General features: G+C 46.7%; 1 protein-coding gene across 9 annotated transcripts in view; it reads left to right on the top strand.

Moving 5' to 3' along the window:
• Positions 1–21,280, top strand: part of KANK4 (KN motif and ankyrin repeat domains 4) — an 83,270-nt gene that overhangs the window by 25,828 nt on the left and 36,162 nt on the right. For 3 of the 9 annotated variants that reach the window (XM_011540845.4, XM_017000483.3, NM_181712.5), the window contains exons 2-3: positions 11,973–12,058; positions 18,520–20,403. In XM_011540845.4, coding sequence (XP_011539147.1) covers positions 12,043–12,058; positions 18,520–20,403 — 1,900 coding nt within the window. In that variant the 5' untranslated portion in view covers positions 11,973–12,042. Of the gene's footprint in view, positions 1–6,453; positions 6,646–7,273; positions 7,409–10,452; positions 10,583–11,972; positions 12,059–18,519; positions 20,404–20,767; positions 21,231–21,280 lie in introns of those variants that run through there. The other 6 variants (XM_047447839.1, XM_047447850.1, XM_047447840.1 and 3 more) reach the window with 6 other exon arrangements.

Genomic DNA, 21,280 nt, shown 5'->3' with positions numbered 1-21,280 from the left:
TGTTTATTAATGCCAAGGCTTATTAACCCTCAATAACTCACATATTATGTTCCTAGTTCCTTATAAAAATGAATTCCCATGTAATACACTTGCTTGTAAGAATTGAAGAGAATACACATATTTGAGATGCATTTTTTATTCTTTTAGAAACCCTTAGTTTCTATCACTGGGCCAGGGACTCTGCTTTGAGAATTATAGATTTCAAGAATTGAGGCCGGGCATGGTGGCTCACACCTGTAATCCCAGCACTTTGGGAAGCCGAGGCCGGTAGATCATCTGAGATCAGGAGTTCGAGACCAGCCTGGCCAACATGCCAAAACCCCATCTCTACTAAAAATACAAAAAAAAAAAATTAGCGGGGTGTGGTGGTGCATGCCTGTAATCCCAGCTACTCAGGAGGCTGAGGCAGGAGAATCACTTGAACTTGGGAGGCAGAGGTTGCAGTGAGCCGAGATTGTGCCATTGTACTCCAGCCTGGGCAACAGAGTGACACTCTGTCTCACACACACACACACACACACACACACACACACACACACACACAAAGATTGAGACACTTAATGGCAGGGGCATTTCTAGGGCCCTATTAAGAGATCTCTGGGAACTGTGAAAGACCCAGAAGAAGAAGGCTTGATTCTTGCTGTCAGGGAGCTTTCAGTCCAGCAAGAAGCATTAGGCAATTATCCAGTGACAAAGGTGGATGGCAGGACTAGACAGGGACCATGAGACGAGTTAGTTAACTTGCCCAAGGTCTCAATATATAGGAAAAGCAGCATTTGAACCCGTGTCTGTTGGATTCCAAAGCTGACTTTTGCCACTACCCTGTCCAGCAGGCTGACAAATCAGTGATCAGCTGACTTCCTTGTGTAGAACAGGTGATCCAAAACATGTCCAGATATATCAAACTGAGATTTCTGAAGCCTTTCAGGGTTCACCTCCCATTAAAATAGAGATTTGCCATTCTCAATTGGAGGAAGGCTTTTATAGTTACAAATTGGACTCCTAATCCCATGTGGCCTCACACCGATTAAAGAGTAGTTATTTACTATAGGATTTCAGAAATTAGAGAATTCTACCCAAATAGGCTCTCCAGATGGCTTCCTGGGGGAGGTGGGGTCTGGTGAGAGGAATGGGTAGGATTTGAACAATAGGTAATATGGGGAAATACTGGTCTAGTCAAGTGGCACCATGTAAGGGCAGACATAAAACCTTGAAGGAGAGGCTTAGAGTGCAGTTCTCATTGAGAACTTGCCATACCTCCTGCGTGTTCACGTGTTTCTAGGGTCATGGTTATTAAGGAAGAAAACACAGAATGGGCCCTTGTATGGACTCTATTACCAAGGTACTGTGTGACATTGAAAACAGGGTTAGATTAGGTGACCTGAAAAAATCCTTTTTAGCTCTTGTGAACCTTGAAAACATCATGTTAAGTGAAAGAAGCTAGTCACAAAAGATCACAGTGGTGTATGATTCCATTTGTAGGCAGTGTCCTCAATCGGCAAATCTATACAGACAGAAAGTAAATTCATGGTTTCCTGGGGCTGGGAGGGAATGGGGAGTGGAGTGGAGGGAATAGGGAATAACTGCTAACGAGTAGGGCATTTCTTTTTGGGGTGGTGAAATGTTCTGGAAATAGAGGGTGATCTTTTCAACAAATGGTGCTGGGAAAACTGAATATTCCCATGCAAAAAAATAAAGTTGTCTGAGTATGGTAGCTCACACCTATAATTCCAGCACTTTGGGAGGCCAAGGTGGGTGGATCACTTGAGGTCAGGGGTTCCAGACCAGCCTGACCAACACAGTGAAACCCCATCTCTACTAAAAATACAAGATTAGCCAGGCGTGGTGGTGCACACCTGTAATCCCAGCTACTTGGGAGGCTAAGGCAGGAGAATCACTTGATCCCGGGAGGTGGAGGTTGCATTGAGCTGAGATCACGTCATTGCACTCCAGCCTAGGTGACAGGGAGAGACTCTGTCTCAATAACCAAAAAAAAAAATTAGGTGTACCTGGTGGTATGCACCTGTAGTGCCAGCTACTCAGAAGGCTGAGGTGAGAGGATTGCAGAGCCCAGGCGTTTGAGCCTGTGGTGAGCTATGATTGTGCCACTGCACTCCAGCCTGGGCAACAGAGTGAGACCCTATCTAAAAAAATTAATTAATTAGTTAAATTATACAAAAAAATGAAGCTGGAAGCTTATCTTATACCATATACAAGGTTATTGCAAAATATATCAAGAAGAAATTTTTTGCAAATCATATATCTGATAAGAGGTTAATATCCTGAATATGTGAAGAACTTGTACAACACAGCAACAACGAACAAACAAGCCAATTCAAAAATGGGTAAAGAACTTGAATGGACATTTCTCCAAAGATGATATACAAAAGCCAATAAGCACATGAAAAAGATAGTCAACACAATTAGTCATTGGGGAAATGCAAATCAAAACCACAGTGAGATACCAATTCATACCTACTACACCTACTAGGATGGCTATAATTTAAAGCAAACAAACATAAACCAGGTGTTGGTGAGACCACAGAGAGATTGTAATGGCCAGGTGTGGTGGCTCATGCCTGTAATCCCAGCACTCTGGGAGGCCGAGGCAGGCGGATCATGAAGTCAAGAGATCGAGACCATTCTGGCTAACACGGTGAAACCCTGTCTCTACTAAAAATACAGAAAAAAAAAATTAGCCAGGCATGGTGGCAGGTGCCTGTAGTCCCAGCTATTTGGGAGACTGAGGCAGGAGAATGGCGTGGACCCAGGAGGCAGAGCTTGCAGTGAGCCGAGATCGCGCCACTGCACTCCAGCCTGGGCGACAGAGTGAGACTCCATCTCAAAAAAAAAAAAAAATCCTTTCCAGCTCTGACAGTCTCTGATCCATCCACCCATGCATCCATCTATTTATTTGATTCAACACGTTTTTATTGAATTCCCATCATGCTAAGTGTTAAAAATGGGGTGAGAAAGAAAACAAATATGATCCTTGCCCTTTCCTTGCTTCACATTGTGGGTTTTAAAAAGTAATCATAGCCAAATGTATTGAGTGTTTATTATATCCTGGGCACCAGCACAAGCACTTTGCATCCCTTATCCCCTGCGGTCTTCACACGGTGTACTGAGCTGTGCTCTTCTTGAATAAGGACATTTTCTCAGGGTCATGCAGCCAGGATTTGAACCTGGCCTGTCTTACCTCAAAGCCCATGCAGCTGAGATCCAGCCACCTGGAAATGGGGTCTTCCCTGGAGACCTGAGTGAGGACCGTCTGTCAGGCTGGCTGCTGTGGTAGCATTGAAGGGAGAATTAAACAGGAGGTGGCATGACCCCCTCTAGGGAGGGGTTTGGAAAATAAGGTGCAAGTCAATGGACGTTTGTATAGCCATTTATAGTAATCATTACAAAGCAGGTAAAACTATACTTTTAAAAATGGCTATATAATAGAATTTTGAATACAAAATTGGATTTATAATTGAATTTATAATTGAATTTCTACTATTATATTAAAAATAACCAATGTATTTACTCATTGAACAGGACTATGTACCGGACTCTGTCCTAAGTGGTTTGCATGTATTGTCATCCTATTTAATCTTTCTGACAGCTCCGTGACTTATAGGAAATACTGCTAGTCTTATTTCACAAGCAAAGCAACTGAGGCACAGGGAAGTTCAGTAATGTGAGCAAGATTATACAGTCAGTCATTGGCAAAGCTGGCATTTCAGCTAGTACTTGACTTGGAGCCCAGGCTACAAGTCCACTATAGAACTTGCCCTTCAATTATGTTAAATATACAAAATAGGTGATCATGAAAATTGCTGTAGCCAGGTGGCAGAATTATGTTGACTTCCCATCTCTTTCCCCCCAAATAATTTATTTTTTATTTTCCAAGAATACATCATAATAGTTATGATTCCTAGACCACCAAGGAAAGAAATCACATGTGACTATGACCTTTTTTTGTCTTCTTCTGTCTTCACCATTGTATTTTGCTGTATTTGATTTTGAATTCCCCTATGCACATGCACAAACTGGACAGTGCCATTGGACACGCAGGCAGTGTACTGGGAGACAGTCGTGGTGTGCTCAGAGGTATTGCCACGGCCTGAAGTTCCTCTCTTGGCCGCAGCTGCCCCCACTCTGCTGCAATCTTCTGGGGAGGGTGAGTCCCCTCCTCATCAACACTGAGGCTCTTTGAAAAAAACATTTTTCTAACTCATAAGAGAGTCTGCTGTACCATGGTTAAGAGCAGCATATTAGCATCAGAAAAACATGGATTCAAATCTTGGCTCTGATGGTCTCGATACCTGGGCAAGTGCTTTAGGCCTCTGCTTTGACTTTGGACAATAGAAGTAACAGTACGCAGGGGTGTCCAAGGGAGAGAATGCACTCACGGGTTCTTAATTTCTGTTTCTGGTTAGGCCAGTAAAGACCTTTCCTCATCCGTCTTTTCCACTTATCACTAGAGACAGAAACTAAAACCTATGTCTTCAGGCACTAAAAGCCTAAAACAAAACAAAACAGAACAACAACAAAATAAGGCGAGTTGGACAAGCTTGGCAGAGTTTTTTTGGGAATAGGATGCTGTTTGGATTGGACCAGAGTACCCGGCTCATTGTAGGGTATGGCATGTCAGGATTTATCTGACATCTTTTTTATTAATTTGTGAGGTTATACATTTCTCAAATATTAACCATTTGTATTTCTTCTTTGATGAATTGCCTGCTCATACCACTTCCTCATTTGGCAATTGGCAGTTTGATTTTACGGTATGTTTAAGTCACGGACCAAGAACATTTTGGAAGCATCCAAATGAAAAAAGAGATGTGGAGTGGGGGTCTTTTTCCTTGCAAGTCTAATGCCTTTTTTCCCTCCAAGGAGCATTTTTCATTGGTTAATGCAGCCTCCTCTCTCCCTACAACTGGCCCAGCTTCTTCCCTCAGAAAATTACATCTGCTTTGTAGAGTCAATCTTTAGAATAGCTGATTTCCCTCCTGGATGGCTGCACCCACAGGTCTCACATGCATAATTTCTTTCTCTGCCTATTTAAGTTGCATTCTGTGGGAATGACTGTGTCTGTGACCAGTCTGCTCAGAGAGGCTCTATTTGAGTGTGTGAATACCTAACAAGCGTGCCCTTCTCAGCCCTGTGCAGCCATACAGCCTACCAAAGCGCTGACCTTTCTGAGTAAAGTGCAAAAGCCTAAGGGATTGCTTAGATAAAAGGTGCATTCTTCAGATAGCTGAACCTCTTTTCCCCTCTGGCCTAGCCCCCATCTTGCTGGACTTGGACAGTTCACCTTTTTTTCCATCATGGGGCAGAAGGGACCTGGGCCATAGAAGTTGAGCATTTCTAAATTGCAAAAGGAGCCAAACCTCCCTCCAGTCCCGTGATTCTTGTCAGGAAAGTTCTTGTGGATAAACATGTTTGGTTCAGGAGATGGTCTGTGTGGCTTGGTAGGAGCATGAAGCTGGCTGCTGGTCTTAAACATACGTCTGAGTAAGGCATAGGGGTTGGGGATGCTGGTAACATGGAGGGCTTTTCTTCCATCTGCATCTTAGAGAAATGCTGCGTGCCTCCAGCTGTTCTCTAGCCAGTTTAGAAAGGATAGTCAATGATCATTTGAAGTGTATCAGAGAAGCAGTTTGCTCCGCAGTATATTTTTTCTATACCCTTAGAGTTCAAGGTATACTTTGGATTCTTTTTTTATTCTGATGATTGGTCTGCGTACTCAGCTAACTGGAAAAATACTTTTACCAGTTGAGAAAAGTGATGTTGGTATTCCATAGACTTGCCTACCACCACGTCATCCTGTGTACTTTGCAAAGTCTCCTAACCTCCATCTTGAGCAAGAGTCTCTAGAATCTTCCAAGAAAAGTAAGGAACTTGATCTAGGGCAATGGGAAGAACAGAGAACTTTACCCCAGGACACTCTGCTCTTGGATGACCCAAGAGAAACCACTTAGACTGTCTCTCATTTTCTTCACCTTTACAATGGGGAGATTCATCCCTGGTCTGGCTGCTTCAAGCATTGATGCAAGGATAAATGAGACACAGGACGGAAAGTGCTTTGCAAGTGTACCAGGCTCGATGCAGGCAGCGTTTCAGGGTGACACTCCTTGCCAGCATCAATTTCAGCATGGGTTAGACAGGAACCTGCTCTGGTCTTGGAAGGCACATCCAGACAGTCAGTATCAGTGAAGGTCAGGGCTACATGTGATGTGTCTTACTGTGAGGCTTCATTTCCCAGCACAGCCTCACTTGGTTAGAGCACCAGGAGGCGAAGGAACAAGGTCCCTCTAATCCTTTTACTGAGTCTGCATAAAGGAACCCAGACGCTTTCCTGGCCCCTCCTGGACCATCCCCGCTCCTTTCAGGTCCGGGAGCAGCACAGGGTTTGGAGAGTGTAGAGTCTGGTGCCTGCACCTCACACCTGTCTCTGCTCCTAAGAACTGCAGCAGCTTTGGGCTGTAGGAAGACCCTCCACTGTGCTTGCCCGGGACACTCTGAAACCTTGCTCCTCTGGCAGCTGCCTGCTCCCTGGCTCCTGCACCCCGCCTCTCGGAGTCTCTGGTCTGCGCTGCAGTTAGAAACCCTGCCTGGAAGTGGATCCACTGAACAGTAATTTGGTCGTCACAGCAGGTACTTCCTTGCTTTTTCATTCCTGCCAGAACTGGGTGTGTTTTGGTGCTCTAGGGCAGCAGATTGGTAGAGCAGCAGGAATAAGGAGCTGCCAGTCCAGCCCCAGGAATTTACTGGTCATTGTTCCTGTCTCGGCTCTGCCCCGACAGATTTCCGTTTGTTTAATGATCAGAGGCTTCATGTGGTCCTGGGGCCCCAGGAGGGGGTAGGGAAGGATGTTTCTAAAGCGGAGCCAGGAAGAAAGTGATGCACTACTGAAGGGTTTCAACTCTAAGGAGGCTACGTCCTCATTAGGAACAAATTCATTAATGAGCCACATCAGCTGCAGGGAGGAAGAAGCTCATAATTAATTATAGCTGCTCAGATGAGCTGCCAGATTCGGAGGAGTCAAGAAGGAAGATTGTGTGTTGTTTGGATGTCTCTAGATGTGTTCCTCGGAAGCGATGGCAGCTCTGGGAACTAACTTTCTAGTTAAGGATTTGAGCGTTCTTCCTCTTTCTGCAAGATCCAGTCTTAGTTTATTGAGCAGTGAATTCGTTTCTGACCCCACTCACCTATTCCCGGGAGCAAAAAGGAAGTCAGTATTTGCTTTTCCAGCAAGGTCAGGGATTACCTGACCAAGTCCTTTAACAGCTGCGAAACAGACACAGCTGTGCTGAAGGCACGAGCTATCAGCTCCGGCCCTGCAGCCGAAACCTGGCTTTCTGGGAAGGAGACGAGTCCTCCCTGCTGTGGGCTATGCAGCAGGAGGATGCAAGGGAAGGTAATGTGGGCACAGCGTTCCTCCCGACTGTTTTCTCTTCTTCGTGAAGCTCCAGATTCAGCTGCTGCAATGCAGGCGAAAATGACACACACTTGCAAAAAACGTGGGAATGGAGTTAATGAGATTGTGTTAATGTGTCATTTATTGAGCAGGACTCATCTCTGTTTGCCAGGTCGGCAGGAGGTGAGCCCGCTGGAGAACTCAGTTGGCAGAATCTTTCTCAGTGCTTCTCACCTCCTCTGGTGTCCCGGCTTCGGCCCTCTCAATGTTTAGAAGCAGCGGTCAGATGCCTCCTGCTTCTTGGCACAGGGAATATTTGCACTTGAAAGGCTGGGGTCCTGGGATGGGGAAAGAGGAAGCTCTCATCATCTTGGCATGATCAGTCCAAGGTACAGGTGATTTTTTTTTTTTTCTTATGGAAAGAGTGCTTTGTCTTTGCAAGGGATCATGCAGGGATTGGCAGGGTTGTTGTTTGGTGAACTACCTTGCTAAATACTTGACTTTGTAAGGTTGAATTCTCCAAGAATTCTCGTGGCAATGAGGCTGAGACTTGAGCCAAGCTGTCTTTTCAAGGAAATCCAAGGTGCTATTTATTTTGGCATGCAGCCTGCTCTGGGATGAAATACCACATTTTTATTATTGCAGAATAAAAAGAGGTTTGAAGAGAACAAAAGTACAGAACCAGGTTTGTTTCAAGACTAAGTAAGGGAAGGTCTCTTTATATTTGGATTTGAGGTTAGAAATGAGCTTGAAAATGGCATCATAAAAGGCGTAAGTGTGGAGAGGAGAGGGTGCGGATAAATGCTGCAGGAGTTGGGCTTACCTGGGGAAACCCATGTTCCTGGGCACTGAGGGTGGACCCAGCTGGAATGGTTTCCAGTCTGGCCTGGTAGCTGCACGTGGACTATCATCGCTGTCTGCCAAGTGACCACTTCTTTGCTGGATTTTTGAATGGTCAGCCTTGGTCCTCACCTCCTTACCGCCCCATAGGCTTGGAAAGGCACTGTGGAATGATGGAGTCACACAAGCTATCCTGCTCCTAATTAACTGGAGAACTTTGGATTAGCCACATGGACTCTTTGTGCCTTAGTTTCCTCGTTTGTAACTTGGACATGTTCCTGTTTCCTAGGATTGCTTGTATGAGGATGAAATGAGAAAGTATACCCAGTAGCTGATTCCCAGTGTAAGTGCTTAGCTCTTGTTAGTTTCTTTCCATGGGTTCCCTTTGAAGACAGACAATTTTGTTCCTTTTATTTTGTTCATCTAAGAACCATGGACTGAGTGTCTGCCGTGAGTTAGACATGAGGAGTTGGGGGTGACATGGGAATAAGACTTGCAATAATTCTGACCTTCACAAGCTTACAGATTAGTAGGGGAGAAGAGCTAGAGAGAAAGCAAGCTATGTATGCCCAAAACATCTAGAATATGATGAGCTATGGAGAGAGGTTGGGCCCTAACTCTGGATCCTTGATCCTGGCATAGGACAAAAACAAATGAAAAGTAACGTAATAACACCAGGTATTTAAAGGTTCTGAACAGTGGGGATACAACTTAACAGAATGGGTAAGAAATGGCTTTATGATCAGGTGCCGTGGCTCACCCCTGTAATCCCAGCACTTTGGGAGGCCAAGGTGGGCGGATCACCTGAAGTCAGGAGTTCAAGGCCAGCCTGGCCAACATAGTGAAACCCCATCTCTACTAAAAATACAAAAATTAGCTGGGCATGGTAGCGCGCGCGACCGTAATCCCAGCTACTCGGGAGGCTGAGGCAGGAGAATGGCTTGAACCCAGGAGGCGGAGATTGCAGTGAGCTGAGATCAAAAGAAATGGCTTTATGTCAAAGCTTTAAATGCTCCAGAGAGTTGCAAAATTCCATTTTAAAGGGGAACTGTGTCCCATAAAGCTATTTTCATATTCTGTTTTATTGCAAACAAGGTAGCATGCATATGTTGATGTGGCAGTTATTTTTACCTAACCTAACCACACTGAGCATTGCCCACTGGAAGGAAACTCCCTTAGCTAAGCTCCACGATGTCTGTTGCTAGGACCATGGAGGAAAGTGCGGAAGGCTGGGGGTGGGAGTCGGGGCTGGAAGTGGTGACTTGTGCACACGACAGATCCCTCCTTCCTTCCTTCCTGTATTATGAGCCCTTTAGAGTAAAAAGTTGCCGAGAAACCCCTCCTTTGAGAGTTGGGTGTCAGCTCCACTTAATTTCTGTAGCCTTGAAATGATTAATTTTACTGAAATCCAAGTCTAAGAGAAATCCAAGTCTAAGAGAAATCTTCGAGGTCTCTACAGAGTTCTTTTTAATGAAATTTGACCTAATGTGTGCTGAATAATTCTTTAAAATCATATGATCTGATATACGATGGGCTGAATTCCTAATTCTAACCAAAGGCTAGGCGTGTGATTGAAAAGTCCCTAGGCTGATGATGAGAGTTTGTGAAGCCAAAAGTCCAGCTGTACCCAAGTGGCCCCCTCCTCTGCAGTAGGAGCTTCTCCAGCCTTGGAGAAGCAGAGCTCTCCTTTGGCTCAGGAGGCTTTACAAGAGAGCAGTTCTCCTCTAAGCCCAGAGGCTTTTTGTGTTTACTGTGGGAGAGGCAGAGAAGCACCAGTCAGAAGCATTTCCCCTCACAGGGGGAATTAAAGATCAGTCATAGTGTCAGGGAACCCGGCTGACTTACAGGGTGGACAAAGGCTTACAAATCACTTTTGTTCCCAACCCAGGCTTGGAGTCGGCTAGACTTGAGGGCACATCCTGCTACAACACTTGCTTGTTATGTGACATGGATCAGCCCTGTCAACTCTCTCAGCCTCAGTCTCCCTCCCTTAAAAATAGGAATAATAATAATCCTCTTTGGGTGATGGTGTAAAGATTGCATGAGATAATTCATGAATGTCAAGTACTCCCAGCTCTGCCCGTTGCTTAGTAATGTTACAGGGGTGGGAGGGAGAGGGGAGCAGGAGCAGGAGAGGCTGCGATGGTGGAGATGAAGGGTCAAGCTTAGGGTTTGCCACCTCACTCTTTTCTTCTGCAGGCTTCACCTGCCACTGCCTCCTGCATGCCAGCATCGCCTGCTGCAGACTGCAGAGCTGGGGTGGTGAGAGAGGCAGCGGTGTTCTCTGCCTGGGAGCCTTCTCTTTATAACAAGGGCAAGCCTGCCTCACCCCAGGTTAGAACCTTCCACACCTCTCCACCGTCTGCCTCCTTGGCGGCCACTCTCAGCCTCTGCAAGACCACCTACACTCTCAGCTCCCTTGTCTCTAACTTCTCTAGCTCTTTGTTTTCAACAAACCAGGATGTGCTGGTGCACTGCCTGCTGCCTCAGAGGTAAGCAAGGTACTCAGTGTGCCAATCCTTCTGCAAGGATTGTCTCTGCTTCTAGAAAACATGCCTGCCCTTTGGGGCTCCATCCACCTGGATAGGGCAAGGCCTGTCTGGCAGCTGCTTGGCAAACGGGCTGGAGGAGATGAGGCAGAAGCAGCACTCGCAGGAAGAAGTGATGCTAAACTTTCTGGTGGCAAACTTTGGCATTTCTCTCTTATTTGACAGGCCTCATCTTTTCCAGCCCTCTTCTCCAGTTACTTGTTTGTCCCCTTTTTTCCATCCTTGGTTTCTGGGGGCCACCCATCATCCTTTTCTTTCACTCTCAGTTTCTCCCAGTCCTTCCCTCATCACTGGTTCACTTTCCTGGTCTGGAGTTCATTGTCAAGCACATTGGAATTCCTAAAACAACCCTGCTTCCACTGCTGCGGTGTCACAGATAATTCATTATTCTGATGTATGTGGAGTTACAATCATAAAAAGCCAATTTCCTGGGTGATTCATTGTAATGGGGGCAGGAGCTAGGATGTTTACCATTTGAAGAAAGAGTCCTGGAAATGGATTAAAACTTTGGGGAGAATTTATGGTCAAACCTCAAGGCACACTAATTCAGAGCCAGGGCAATATTCTGCTTGAATAGTTACCCATGTCTTCGGGCCACCCAGGTTGAACTTCCCCTTGTTCTGCCCATGGTTAGAAATTACCTCTAAGTAGCAGCTCCCTGTCAGTACTTGCAATTATGTCATCTCTGTCTTCTGTTTGATTGACATGTCACACATCATTTATAGGTACTCTGATTCCAGCTTTTTCGCAAAGTGGATTATAAGTCCCTTCCCAGGATGGGGATAGGTAGATTTCAACTCTTGAGATTATGGCAAGAGCCCTGTGCTGGTATCAGAAGCCTGGGTCTGATACTAGCACCTTCACGAATAGTCTGAGACACCTTAGAGCAATTAACTCCTCAGCCTCAGTTTCCTCATCTGCCAAGCAAGACCGCTGGACCAAATACTTCCACTTCTTTTCATGTCAACTATTGCTAATATTCCATGAAGAAACACCCAGAATTGGGCTCTAGAAATGTGTACAGGTTTTTAATCTTCCTCCTTGGAGGGCTGTGAGCTCATGGGCACCCTGGGAGAAAGGCAGGGATGGATGTTACTTTGTTTAGTGCTGTGTTTCCCCAATACTTATTCAAACGCTAATGAGACTCACCACTTCTGTATCCTCCTTTCTTTCAGAACCTTCAACAAGTTTTACAGACTCATTGGATGAAGAGTGCCTGAGACACTGAGGGTCAGCGCTCCAAAGATGGAGAAGACAGATGGTAGGCAAGCTGCTTTGTAGGGCCTGGTTTAAGATAAGCACTTGGGCTGGGAAAGAATTGTTGCCACAAATCCTGGAAATAGCCTAGGAAAGGCCTGCAGGAGATATCCCTCAAACAGGCAGTGCTGGTAGGCTCAAGCATGTATTTCAGATTTTGTGTATCTCCAGCCCTAGCCTAGGAAAGAGGCACAATATGGTAAGCCTCCATTTATACCTAAGTGATTCTACAAGTCATTTAATGTCTTTGATCCTCAATCCTCACATGTATCAGTTAGCTTTGCTGTGTAACAAACAGCCCAACAATTTAGTCACTTAAAGATGTTAATTATTTCTCAAAAGATTCTGTGTGTTAGCAGGGCCATTATTCTGGTTTGGGCTGGCATGGATGATCTTTTCTGGGTTCATTCACATGTCCATGGGCTTCTGGGTGACTTGGCTGGGAGCTGGATGGCTTAGAATGGCCACACTCACATATCTGGGGTATCAGTAATGACTTGGCCACGTGTCTCTCGTCATCCAGGAGGTTGGCTAGGGCTTGTTCACATGGTGACAGAAGAGTTCAAGCACAACACAAGGACAGACTGACTCCAATGTGCAGATAATGTTCCAGTCTCTGCATATGTCATATTGCTGTTGACCCACTGGCCGACACAAGTCATAAGGCCATCATCCAGTGTCAGCGTGGTAGAGGAGTACCCCAAGGGTCAGATATTATTGTGGCTATCTTTGCAAACAGTTGACAACACCTTTTCTATAAACAGGTATTAATACTATTTCATAGGGTTGGTAAAGAACTAAATTACGTAATGCATGGAAAGTTGTTGAGTAACAACTACCTAGCATAATGAATGTCTGCATGTTCCCCTCTTCCTGTCCCCAGGAAACTTGCAGAAGGCCACAGTCTAGACCCCAATCTCCTGACTTCTAATGAAATGTTTTTTTCTAGATCACCATATATCAGGAAAAAGAGAGCCTCTAATTCCCCTTGAATCACATGGCCCTTCACGGGCACGGGACTTAGGGACCTGACATTAGTTCCCGCCCTGCCTCTTCTTCCAAATGCAGTTCCCATTTATTTCAAGAGTTGCCTTTCTCCCCAGAGAGCTGCCTTTTCAGTGCATCCCTGGCAGTGGTCCCACAGAACACCCACTCATTCCCTCAAAGCTCCGGGGGCCTGTTAGCCCAGCTGCCTCTCAGTCCCTTCTCAGCACACTGGGGAGGTCTGCTGTCCATGTGATTGCCCATATGAGCCCAAGAAAGGCTCCCTCCTTTCAGCCATGGGCCTCCCAGAACAGGGACAAGCCTTCCCAGAGGGGAAGGCTTCCCTCCCTGTCTTGGCCTTTGGAAGAGTTTCATTTTACTCCCCTTCTTTCTGGCTTTATTTTCAGCCACTTTCTCTCTAGTTTCTGTTTTTCCCCATTTACTTCAGAGACTGAATATAGGCTTTTGAATTTCTCTTTCACACTCTAAATGCCTCTGGTTGGTTCGCTCACCTGCTTTACTTCACTTGTCCCTTCAGATAATTACTGTGGTTCTCCCTCCTTACCTTGTCCCCTTGAAGTCCCCTTTTCTCTTGTCTGTGTGTAACTCTGAAGCTGACTGTGTTTGTAGGTCCTATACAAGGATCTAGTGATCTGTTGTTCTCTTAAGCAAGACTCCGTAGGGAATTCCAGGTAGCTCTGAGCCTCCTCTAGCTTTCTTTTTTCTTCTCCCCAGACTCACTTTCCCACTTTCTCCAGAATTATTTTCTTGGACTCTCATTCACTCTTGAGCTGTAGGGAGACAGCACATGCTCAGTGAATCCTCGCCTGCCGCATTCAGAACCAGCCCATCCTTGCTGTTAGGGTCCTTCACTGAGCGCCTACTCTGGGCTGTGTTCTCTAGTGCATTCGTGCTAATAATGACAACAATTCTGTAAGTTAGGCATTATTATCTCCACTTTACAAATGGAGAAATCGAGGCAGAGGGAAATGAAATAATTGCCCCAGAATCACACAAGTGGGAGATGACAGCCATGATTCAAATCCAGCCAGGTTGGCCATGTGTTGGTTTATTTGATCTGAATTTCATTTTGAACAGAGTCAGGTCTTCCTAACTGATTCTCACCCTGGCCCAGTGCCTGGAATTCTGAGCTCCCGCATACCTGTCACCAGGTAGAATGAATAGGAGCAGAGCCGCATGTGAGGGTAGTCTCTCAGCTTATCAGCTCAAACTCCCTCATCAAAGCCCAGCATTCCTCTTGTGCTGGGAGAAAGAGAAGGAATGCAGAATGGCAGGTGGCAGGCAAGGCAGCATGATGGATCACTCTGTGTGTGTGTGTGTGTGTGTGTGTGTGTGTGTGTGTGTGTGTGCGCGCGCTAGCTTAGGAAAGCACCTATTAAACCTGCTATTAAACCTGTCATCCTTGGTAGCTGCTCAGCCTCACTTGCCCTCCTCTCCCTTGTGGAGGATTCTGCCTTTGAATCTGCTGTTTCTTATTTTATGCTATGATTGTATTTGTGCTCTGGACCTGCGCCCAGAGGCCGTTGGGCAAATCGGTGCATTTCTAGTGAATTGAGGCAATAAGCAGATAAATAATGCAGCCTCTCCTTTAGGAGAGCTCTTTGCCTTCTAGGTCATAAATCTGCTCTCTACTTAACTTTAGATAAATATCTCTTCTCTGTTTGGCCTGTCCTTATAATCTGTGGGGCTGTTGAGCAGACCAGTAGGTCTAAGAGTACAGCCAGTGCAACTTGGAAAACTAATGGAGAGAAATACAAGATATTGCTCTCATTTACTAAAATTGCCAGTGTGTTTCTTTGCGAGGGGATGGGAAGGTGGGGGAGCAAGTTGGTTAAAAAAAAATTGTGTGGGTCAGCCGGGCGTGGTGGCTCATGCCTGTAATCCCAGCACTTTGGGAGGCCGAGGCAGGTGGATCACCTGAGGTCAGGAGTTCAAGACCAGCCTGGCCAAAATAGTGAAACCCCCTTTCTACTAAAAATACAAAAAAAATAGCCAGGCATGGTGGCACGCACCTGTAATCCCAGCTACTTAGGAGGCTGAGGCAGGAGAATCACTTGAACCTGGGAGGCGGAGGTTGCAATGAGCCAAGATTGCACCATTGCACTCCAGCCTGGGCAACAAGAACGAAATTCCATCTCAAAAAAAAAAAAGAAAGAAAGAAAGAAAGAAAGGAAGGAAGGAAGGAAGGAAGGAAGGAAGGAAGGAAGGAAGGAAGGAAGGAAGGAAGAAAGAAAATGTGCCCCAGGAAATGCCACCATTTGCAACTTTTTTAAACCCGTCCCTTTCCCTCCATTACCTTGAGCTCCTCTCACCTTAACCATGTCAGCAGCCTCCCAGCTGATCTTGGGGCCTCTGGTTTGCCTTTCTGTTAATCCTTGGCAAGATGCTCTTTTTGAAATCACATTCAACCAAGTCACTCCCTTGTTTAAAACCCTTCAGTGACTCCCATGACCTAGAGCGTAAAGTCAAAGCTTGTTCGCGTGCATACAAGTTGCTCCATGATCTGGCTGTTGCTGTCCTTTCCAATTTTATCTTTCTCTACCATGTTTTAAGTACTGGCCATATCAGCTGCATTTATAGAACTTTGAAATACTGTGTGATTTCACCCTCCATCCCTTTGCACATTCTCTGTGGAGATCTAGATTTTCTGTCTTGGCTATCTATTGCTGCATAACAAGCCATCCCAAAACTTGGTGGCTTAATACAATAATTTATTATTAATACAGGCTCAGTTCAGTGATTCTCACTTGGGGTCCCTCCTGTAGTTAAAGTCAGATGAAGGCTGAAGACTTTTTTACTCATGCATGGCATCTGGGCTAGGGTGACTGGAACTGCTTGGGGCTGACTGGGCATTTCCTTCCCTCCCTCCACTTGACCTTTCTGTGGGGCTGTTTGGGCTTCCTCACAACATGGCAGTCTCAGGAAAGGTGGACTTATTACACGGCAGCTGGCTTCCCAATAAGTGTGCATTGTAAGAGACCCAGGTGGAAGCTATGGGGCTTCTTATGACCTAGCCTTCAAGATCTCTCAGCATCTGCCATATTCTTTTGGTTAAAGCAGTTGCAGGCCAACCCGGATTCAAAGGCCTGGAATTGTAGACTCCACCTTTAACTATAAAATAAGCTTGCTTGTCCAAAGGGGGTAGGAATTGGTGGTGGTCATCTTGAAGATAAATTGCTACAATGTCTTTTACTCTTTTGTTCTCCTGGCAAGTCCCTATTTGTTCATTTATCACCCAGTCTTATGTCACTTTTATGTAAACTCATCCCTCTCCTACCTAGGAAAAATTGTTTTCCAAGTCCAAAAAAAATAATTCTGCAGAAACTAGAAAAATAAGTCAGGGAAGAAGCCTGTACTATAAGCATGCATCTGTTACTCTCCCTATCTCACTGCATTGTATGTGTTTGTGTCTCTCCTGCCTCATCATAAATCCTTTGAAGGCAGAGGCTGAACCTGATTCATCTTGGTGTCCTTAGGGTCTAGCTTAGCACATAGGTGCTCAATAAATGGGTGGTTGAGGTAAGTGAATTGAATCACAGCTATTTTGTAATTTTAACCTAGGGCCTACTACCCTTAAAACCAAGCAATCAACCAGTCACAACATGTTTGTGGAGACCAGCAGTGAGTCATATAAGTCACTTTCCATTATGGGGCTTCCATTGTCTATATTTTGGGATTCCACAAAGATAAACTGAATGTTTATCATGTGTGAGGCATTGTCCAAAATACTTTATTATTAATTAACTAGTCCTCACAATAGTCTTATTTTTGAGATGGAGTTTTGCTATCGTTGCCCAGGCTGGAGTACAATGGTGCAATCTCGGCTCACTGCAACCTTCGCCTCCTGGGTTCAAGCGATTCTCCCGCCTCAGCCTCCTGAGTAGCTGGGATTACAGGTGCCTGCCACCATGCCCGGCTAACTTTTTGTATTTTTAGTAGAGATGGGGTTTCACCGTGTTGGCCAGGCTGGTCTCGAACTCCTGACCTCAAGTGATCCACCTGCCTCGGCCTCCCAAAGAGCTGGGATTACAGGCATGAACCACCGCACCCGACCGTCCTCACAATAATCTTATTTTACCTGTTATTATTCCCACTTTACAGATGATGAGACATAGGAAGGCTAAGTAACTTCCCCAAGGTCACACAGCAGAGATCTAGACCAGGCTCCAGAATCTGTATTCTGAACCTCTGTACTCTCCATTAACGTTCTCTCCTGAGCTCAATATTTTCAGAGCCTGTTTAGCATAATGTCACAGAGGTAATTAGGGGCGTCACATGAGGAATATTGAAGAAACAAAGACTATTTAACCTGAAGAAGAGGTTGCTTGGCAACAGGCCCCTATGGATGCAGATAGTCGAAGGACTGGCTTGTTTCCAGTGTCCTCTGTTGGAGTCAACAGGTGGATGCTGCAAGGAGATCCTGGAACCTTGGTGTAATGGAGAACTTCCTCATCATGATGGCCCCCCAGGGTATGGGTTGCCCTGGAAAGTCAAGTCCCATTCTTCTTGGAGGATGGATACCAATGTCCCTTTTGACATTAATTGGCCCTTTTACCACCTTTTATCTAGTGTGTGAAAAATGCGATTTCTTTCTTTCTCTCTTCCTTCCTTCCCTTCCTTTCCTTTCCCTTCCCTTCCCCTTCCCCTTCCCCTTCCTTCCTTCCTCCCTTCCTTCCTCCCTTCCTTCCTCCCTCCCTCCCTCCCTCTCTCTCTCTTTCTCTCTTTCTTTCTTCATTGAGTTACTGGCCAAAGTAGGTATTTCCTTACTTGGCATGGGTTTATGAAAGTGAATTTCGTGTTTGTTAAGCACTAGGCAGTTTTCACATGCAAAGAGCGTAGGCCATGGATGATTACTTGTTCCAGCTCTCTCTGATCTGTGCATACCTGAGGCGCAGGCATCTGCACAAGCTTAAATAATGTAAACGGCATAACTCATTGATACCTCCGGCTTTAGCAAGATTTACTTCTACCAATTTGAGTCATGCAAGTTAGGGTTGTTTTTGCAGATTTCTTTTTTACTGCTGAGCCACTTGTGTATCTTATCCTTTAAACCCTTCCATATCCGTAATTGCCAATTAGTACCCTGATTTGGCAAATTCCTGGCTACTTCAGTGCAGCAATTATGTGATTCAAACCCAGAAAAGCAGTACAAGACCATTTGGTTTTGCCAGTCTGCAGGCAGATTCCCCAGTAGAAACCCAGATGACATACTGCAAATTGGAAACCATTCCCTCTCCCTGTTTCCTTGCAGACATTGGCTAAGTACACATTGATTTAATAAGATGATTTTCCAATACAGCCAAAAAGACTGAGCATCTCAGCATAATTTCGAGGCTAGAACATTTAGAAGAAGTCTCAAGTGACAGCGTTAAGTTAAAATCAGAGATATTAGGCCTCATCGCCCTGTAATGCTTAATTAAATTTGTGCTTTTTTTTTTTAACTTGTCTTATGTCTCCCAGCCAAAGACCAGTCCTCTCAGGGGGATGAAGAGAAAGACCCTCCGAAGAGCCACCCTTATTCTGTGGAGACCCCATATGGCTTTCATTTAGACCTGGACTTCCTCAAGTATGTGGATGACATCGAGAAGGGAAACACTATCAAAAGAATTCCTATCCACAGAAGGGCCAAGCAGGCCAAATTTAGCACTCTGCCCCGAAACTTCAGCCTTCCTGACAGTGGGGCTCGCCCCCCTGCAGCCCCGCCCCTCCAAAACTGGTCTCCCGTGGTGCCAAGGGAGGCATCACTTGGGACACAGGAGCAAAACCAGTCACCACCGCTTGGTAATGCCCCCCAGGCCTCAACAAGCAGGAGTGAGGTGAGCTACCACAGGAAGGCTCTGTTGGCAGAGGCCACCAGACAGTTGGAAGCTGCTGAGCCAGAGGATGCCGAGCTCACTTTTGGGAGTGGACGGCCCCAGCTCTTGAGAGCATCCAGCATGCCTGCCACGCTGCTGCACAGCAGGGCTTCTGAGGAGCCAGGCCTGAGCCTGGGGCCCCCTGCCCCTCCTGCCCTCCCTCCCCTTCAGGGTGAAGGCAGTGTCTGTGATGGCACCTTTGAACCTGCAGAAGGATTGGCAGGTTTCCACAGCTCCAGCCCACGAGCATCAACTCGGATTCCAGAGCTGGTCCAGGAGGGAGCTGAGCCTCCAGAGGGTGTGGTGAAGGTTCCAAATCACCTCCCTCTCCCAGGCCCTCCTTTCTCATTCCAGAATGTGCTTGTAGTTCTAGAGGACAAGGAAGATGAACACAATGCCAGAGAAGCAGAGGTGTTGTTCACCCCTGGCTCCCCTACGCCAAGCCCGCCACCTCTGCCATCACCCATCCCTGAGAATGAGCTCCTCCTGGAAGAAATCGAGCTCAACATCAGCGAGATTCCACCCCCGCCACCTGTAGAGGTGGACATGAGAAGCATTGGCATCAGGGTAACTGAGGAAAGCCTGGGCCTTGCCAGGGTGGATCCAGGCAGCATCTCCAGCCTGAAACAGCAGGTCTCGGCCCTGGAGGGAGAGTTGTCTGGAAGAACCGAGGAACTGGCACAGGTCAGAACTGCTCTCCAGCAGCAGGAAGAGGAAATCAAAGCTAGGGAGCAAAGAATTCGAGAGCTGGAGTTCACTGTAGCCCAACTGGAAGGACAGTTTCACCAAGAGAACGCCAAAGACACTCAGGGCCAGACGGACGTGATGGTGAACACTGACCCTGTCCATGGACTCTTGACCAGGGAGTCGTGTGATAAGGGCATTGAAGTCAACCTTCTAGGCAGCATGGAGTCTGAAAGCTGGGGGCACCGAGGAGAGGAGAATGGCCTCCTATGGGGGCCAGATGGTCATAAACAAGGGAATCAGAGCCCAGCAGAACGTGTGCTTCTGCCCCAGCTGTCACTGCCACAGGGACCCGAGCAGGTCCTTACCTCCTCTGTACATAGCTTCCTCTCCACTGAACTCAGGATTGAAGAAGCAGGCACTGAACAGGAAGGAGGCCCTCAGGGAGGAACCAGGGGAGCAGGAGGCTTTCTGTGGGGCAGCGACAGAAAGACTCCCCCAGCAGGGAGGGAGGAGACCAGTTCCAATCTCCCAGGGAAGGAGCACCCGGGAAGGCCACCAAGCTCGCCAACGGATGCCACTATTGGGCAGTATGTGAAGAAGATCCAGGAGCTCCTGCAGGAGCAGTGGAACTGCCTGGAGCATGGGTACCCGGAGCTGGCCAGCGCCATCAAGCAGCCAGCCTCCAAGCTCAGCAGCATCCAGAGCCAGCTGCTGAGCTCCCTCAACCTGCTGCTGTCGGCCTACTCGGCCCAGGCTCACCCACCCAAGGAGCCACCGGCCTCCTCCTCCTCCCCGCCAGTGGGTAAATACCATCAATATAGGGGCCTGAGACAGGGAGCCATTTCTCCTTCACATGATAAGGCAGAGGGAACAAGGTTTTCAATTATATTAACATGTTTTTAAAAAGATTTTAGCAGCTGGGAGCAGTGGCTCAGGCCTGTAATCCCAGCACTTTGGGAGGCGGAGGTGGGAAGATCTCCTGAGATCAGGAGTTCAAGACCAGCCTGGTCAACATGGCGAAAACCCATCTCTACTAAAAATACAAAAATTAGCCGGGCATGGTGGCAGGAGCCTGTAATCCCAGCTACTTGGGAGGCTGAGGCAGGAGAATCACTTGAACCCAGGAGGCGGAGGTTGCAGTGAGCCGAGATCATACCACTGCACTCCAGCCTGGGTGACAGAGCAAGACTCCATCTCAAAAAAAAAAAAAAAGAAAAAAAGATTTTAGTACTTCCAGGAACCCAGTGGAATAAAAACTGATGTGTGTGACAGTGGAGGCTCGGGACCTCTACTCTTGCCTTTGCTCTAAGGTTGGGTCTGACTATGGGCCCACTGCCTACAGCTGTATGGATAGCACAGGGCACAAAGATGCCAGCCAGGGAGGGCAAATGAGAGTTGAAAGCCAGCCCACACTCCATTTGCCAAGCCTTGCGCTGCAGCACCACATCCACCCAGAGGGGGCTGTTCTCATTTGCATTGTGCAAAGGCAGTGTCTGGGGCCAAGAATGGCCCTGCTGCGTGGACTCCAGACCTCTTCCTGGGCTTTTGCATTCCTGTGTTCCTCTCTGGTTCTTGCATAGTAGAGGTTTTCTCTGGCCTGGTTTTGGAGGAGCATTATATTGATATCTGGTATAGTTCACTGAATATTTTCTCTGCGTGCATGTGTGTGTGTACGTGCA

The sequence above is a fragment of the Homo sapiens genome, chromosome 1 (genome assembly GCF_000001405.40).
Source record: "Homo sapiens chromosome 1, GRCh38.p14 Primary Assembly".
NCBI classification, from domain to species: domain Eukaryota; kingdom Metazoa; phylum Chordata; class Mammalia; order Primates; family Hominidae; genus Homo; species Homo sapiens.
This window is presented reverse-complemented; position numbering and strand designations above follow the sequence as displayed.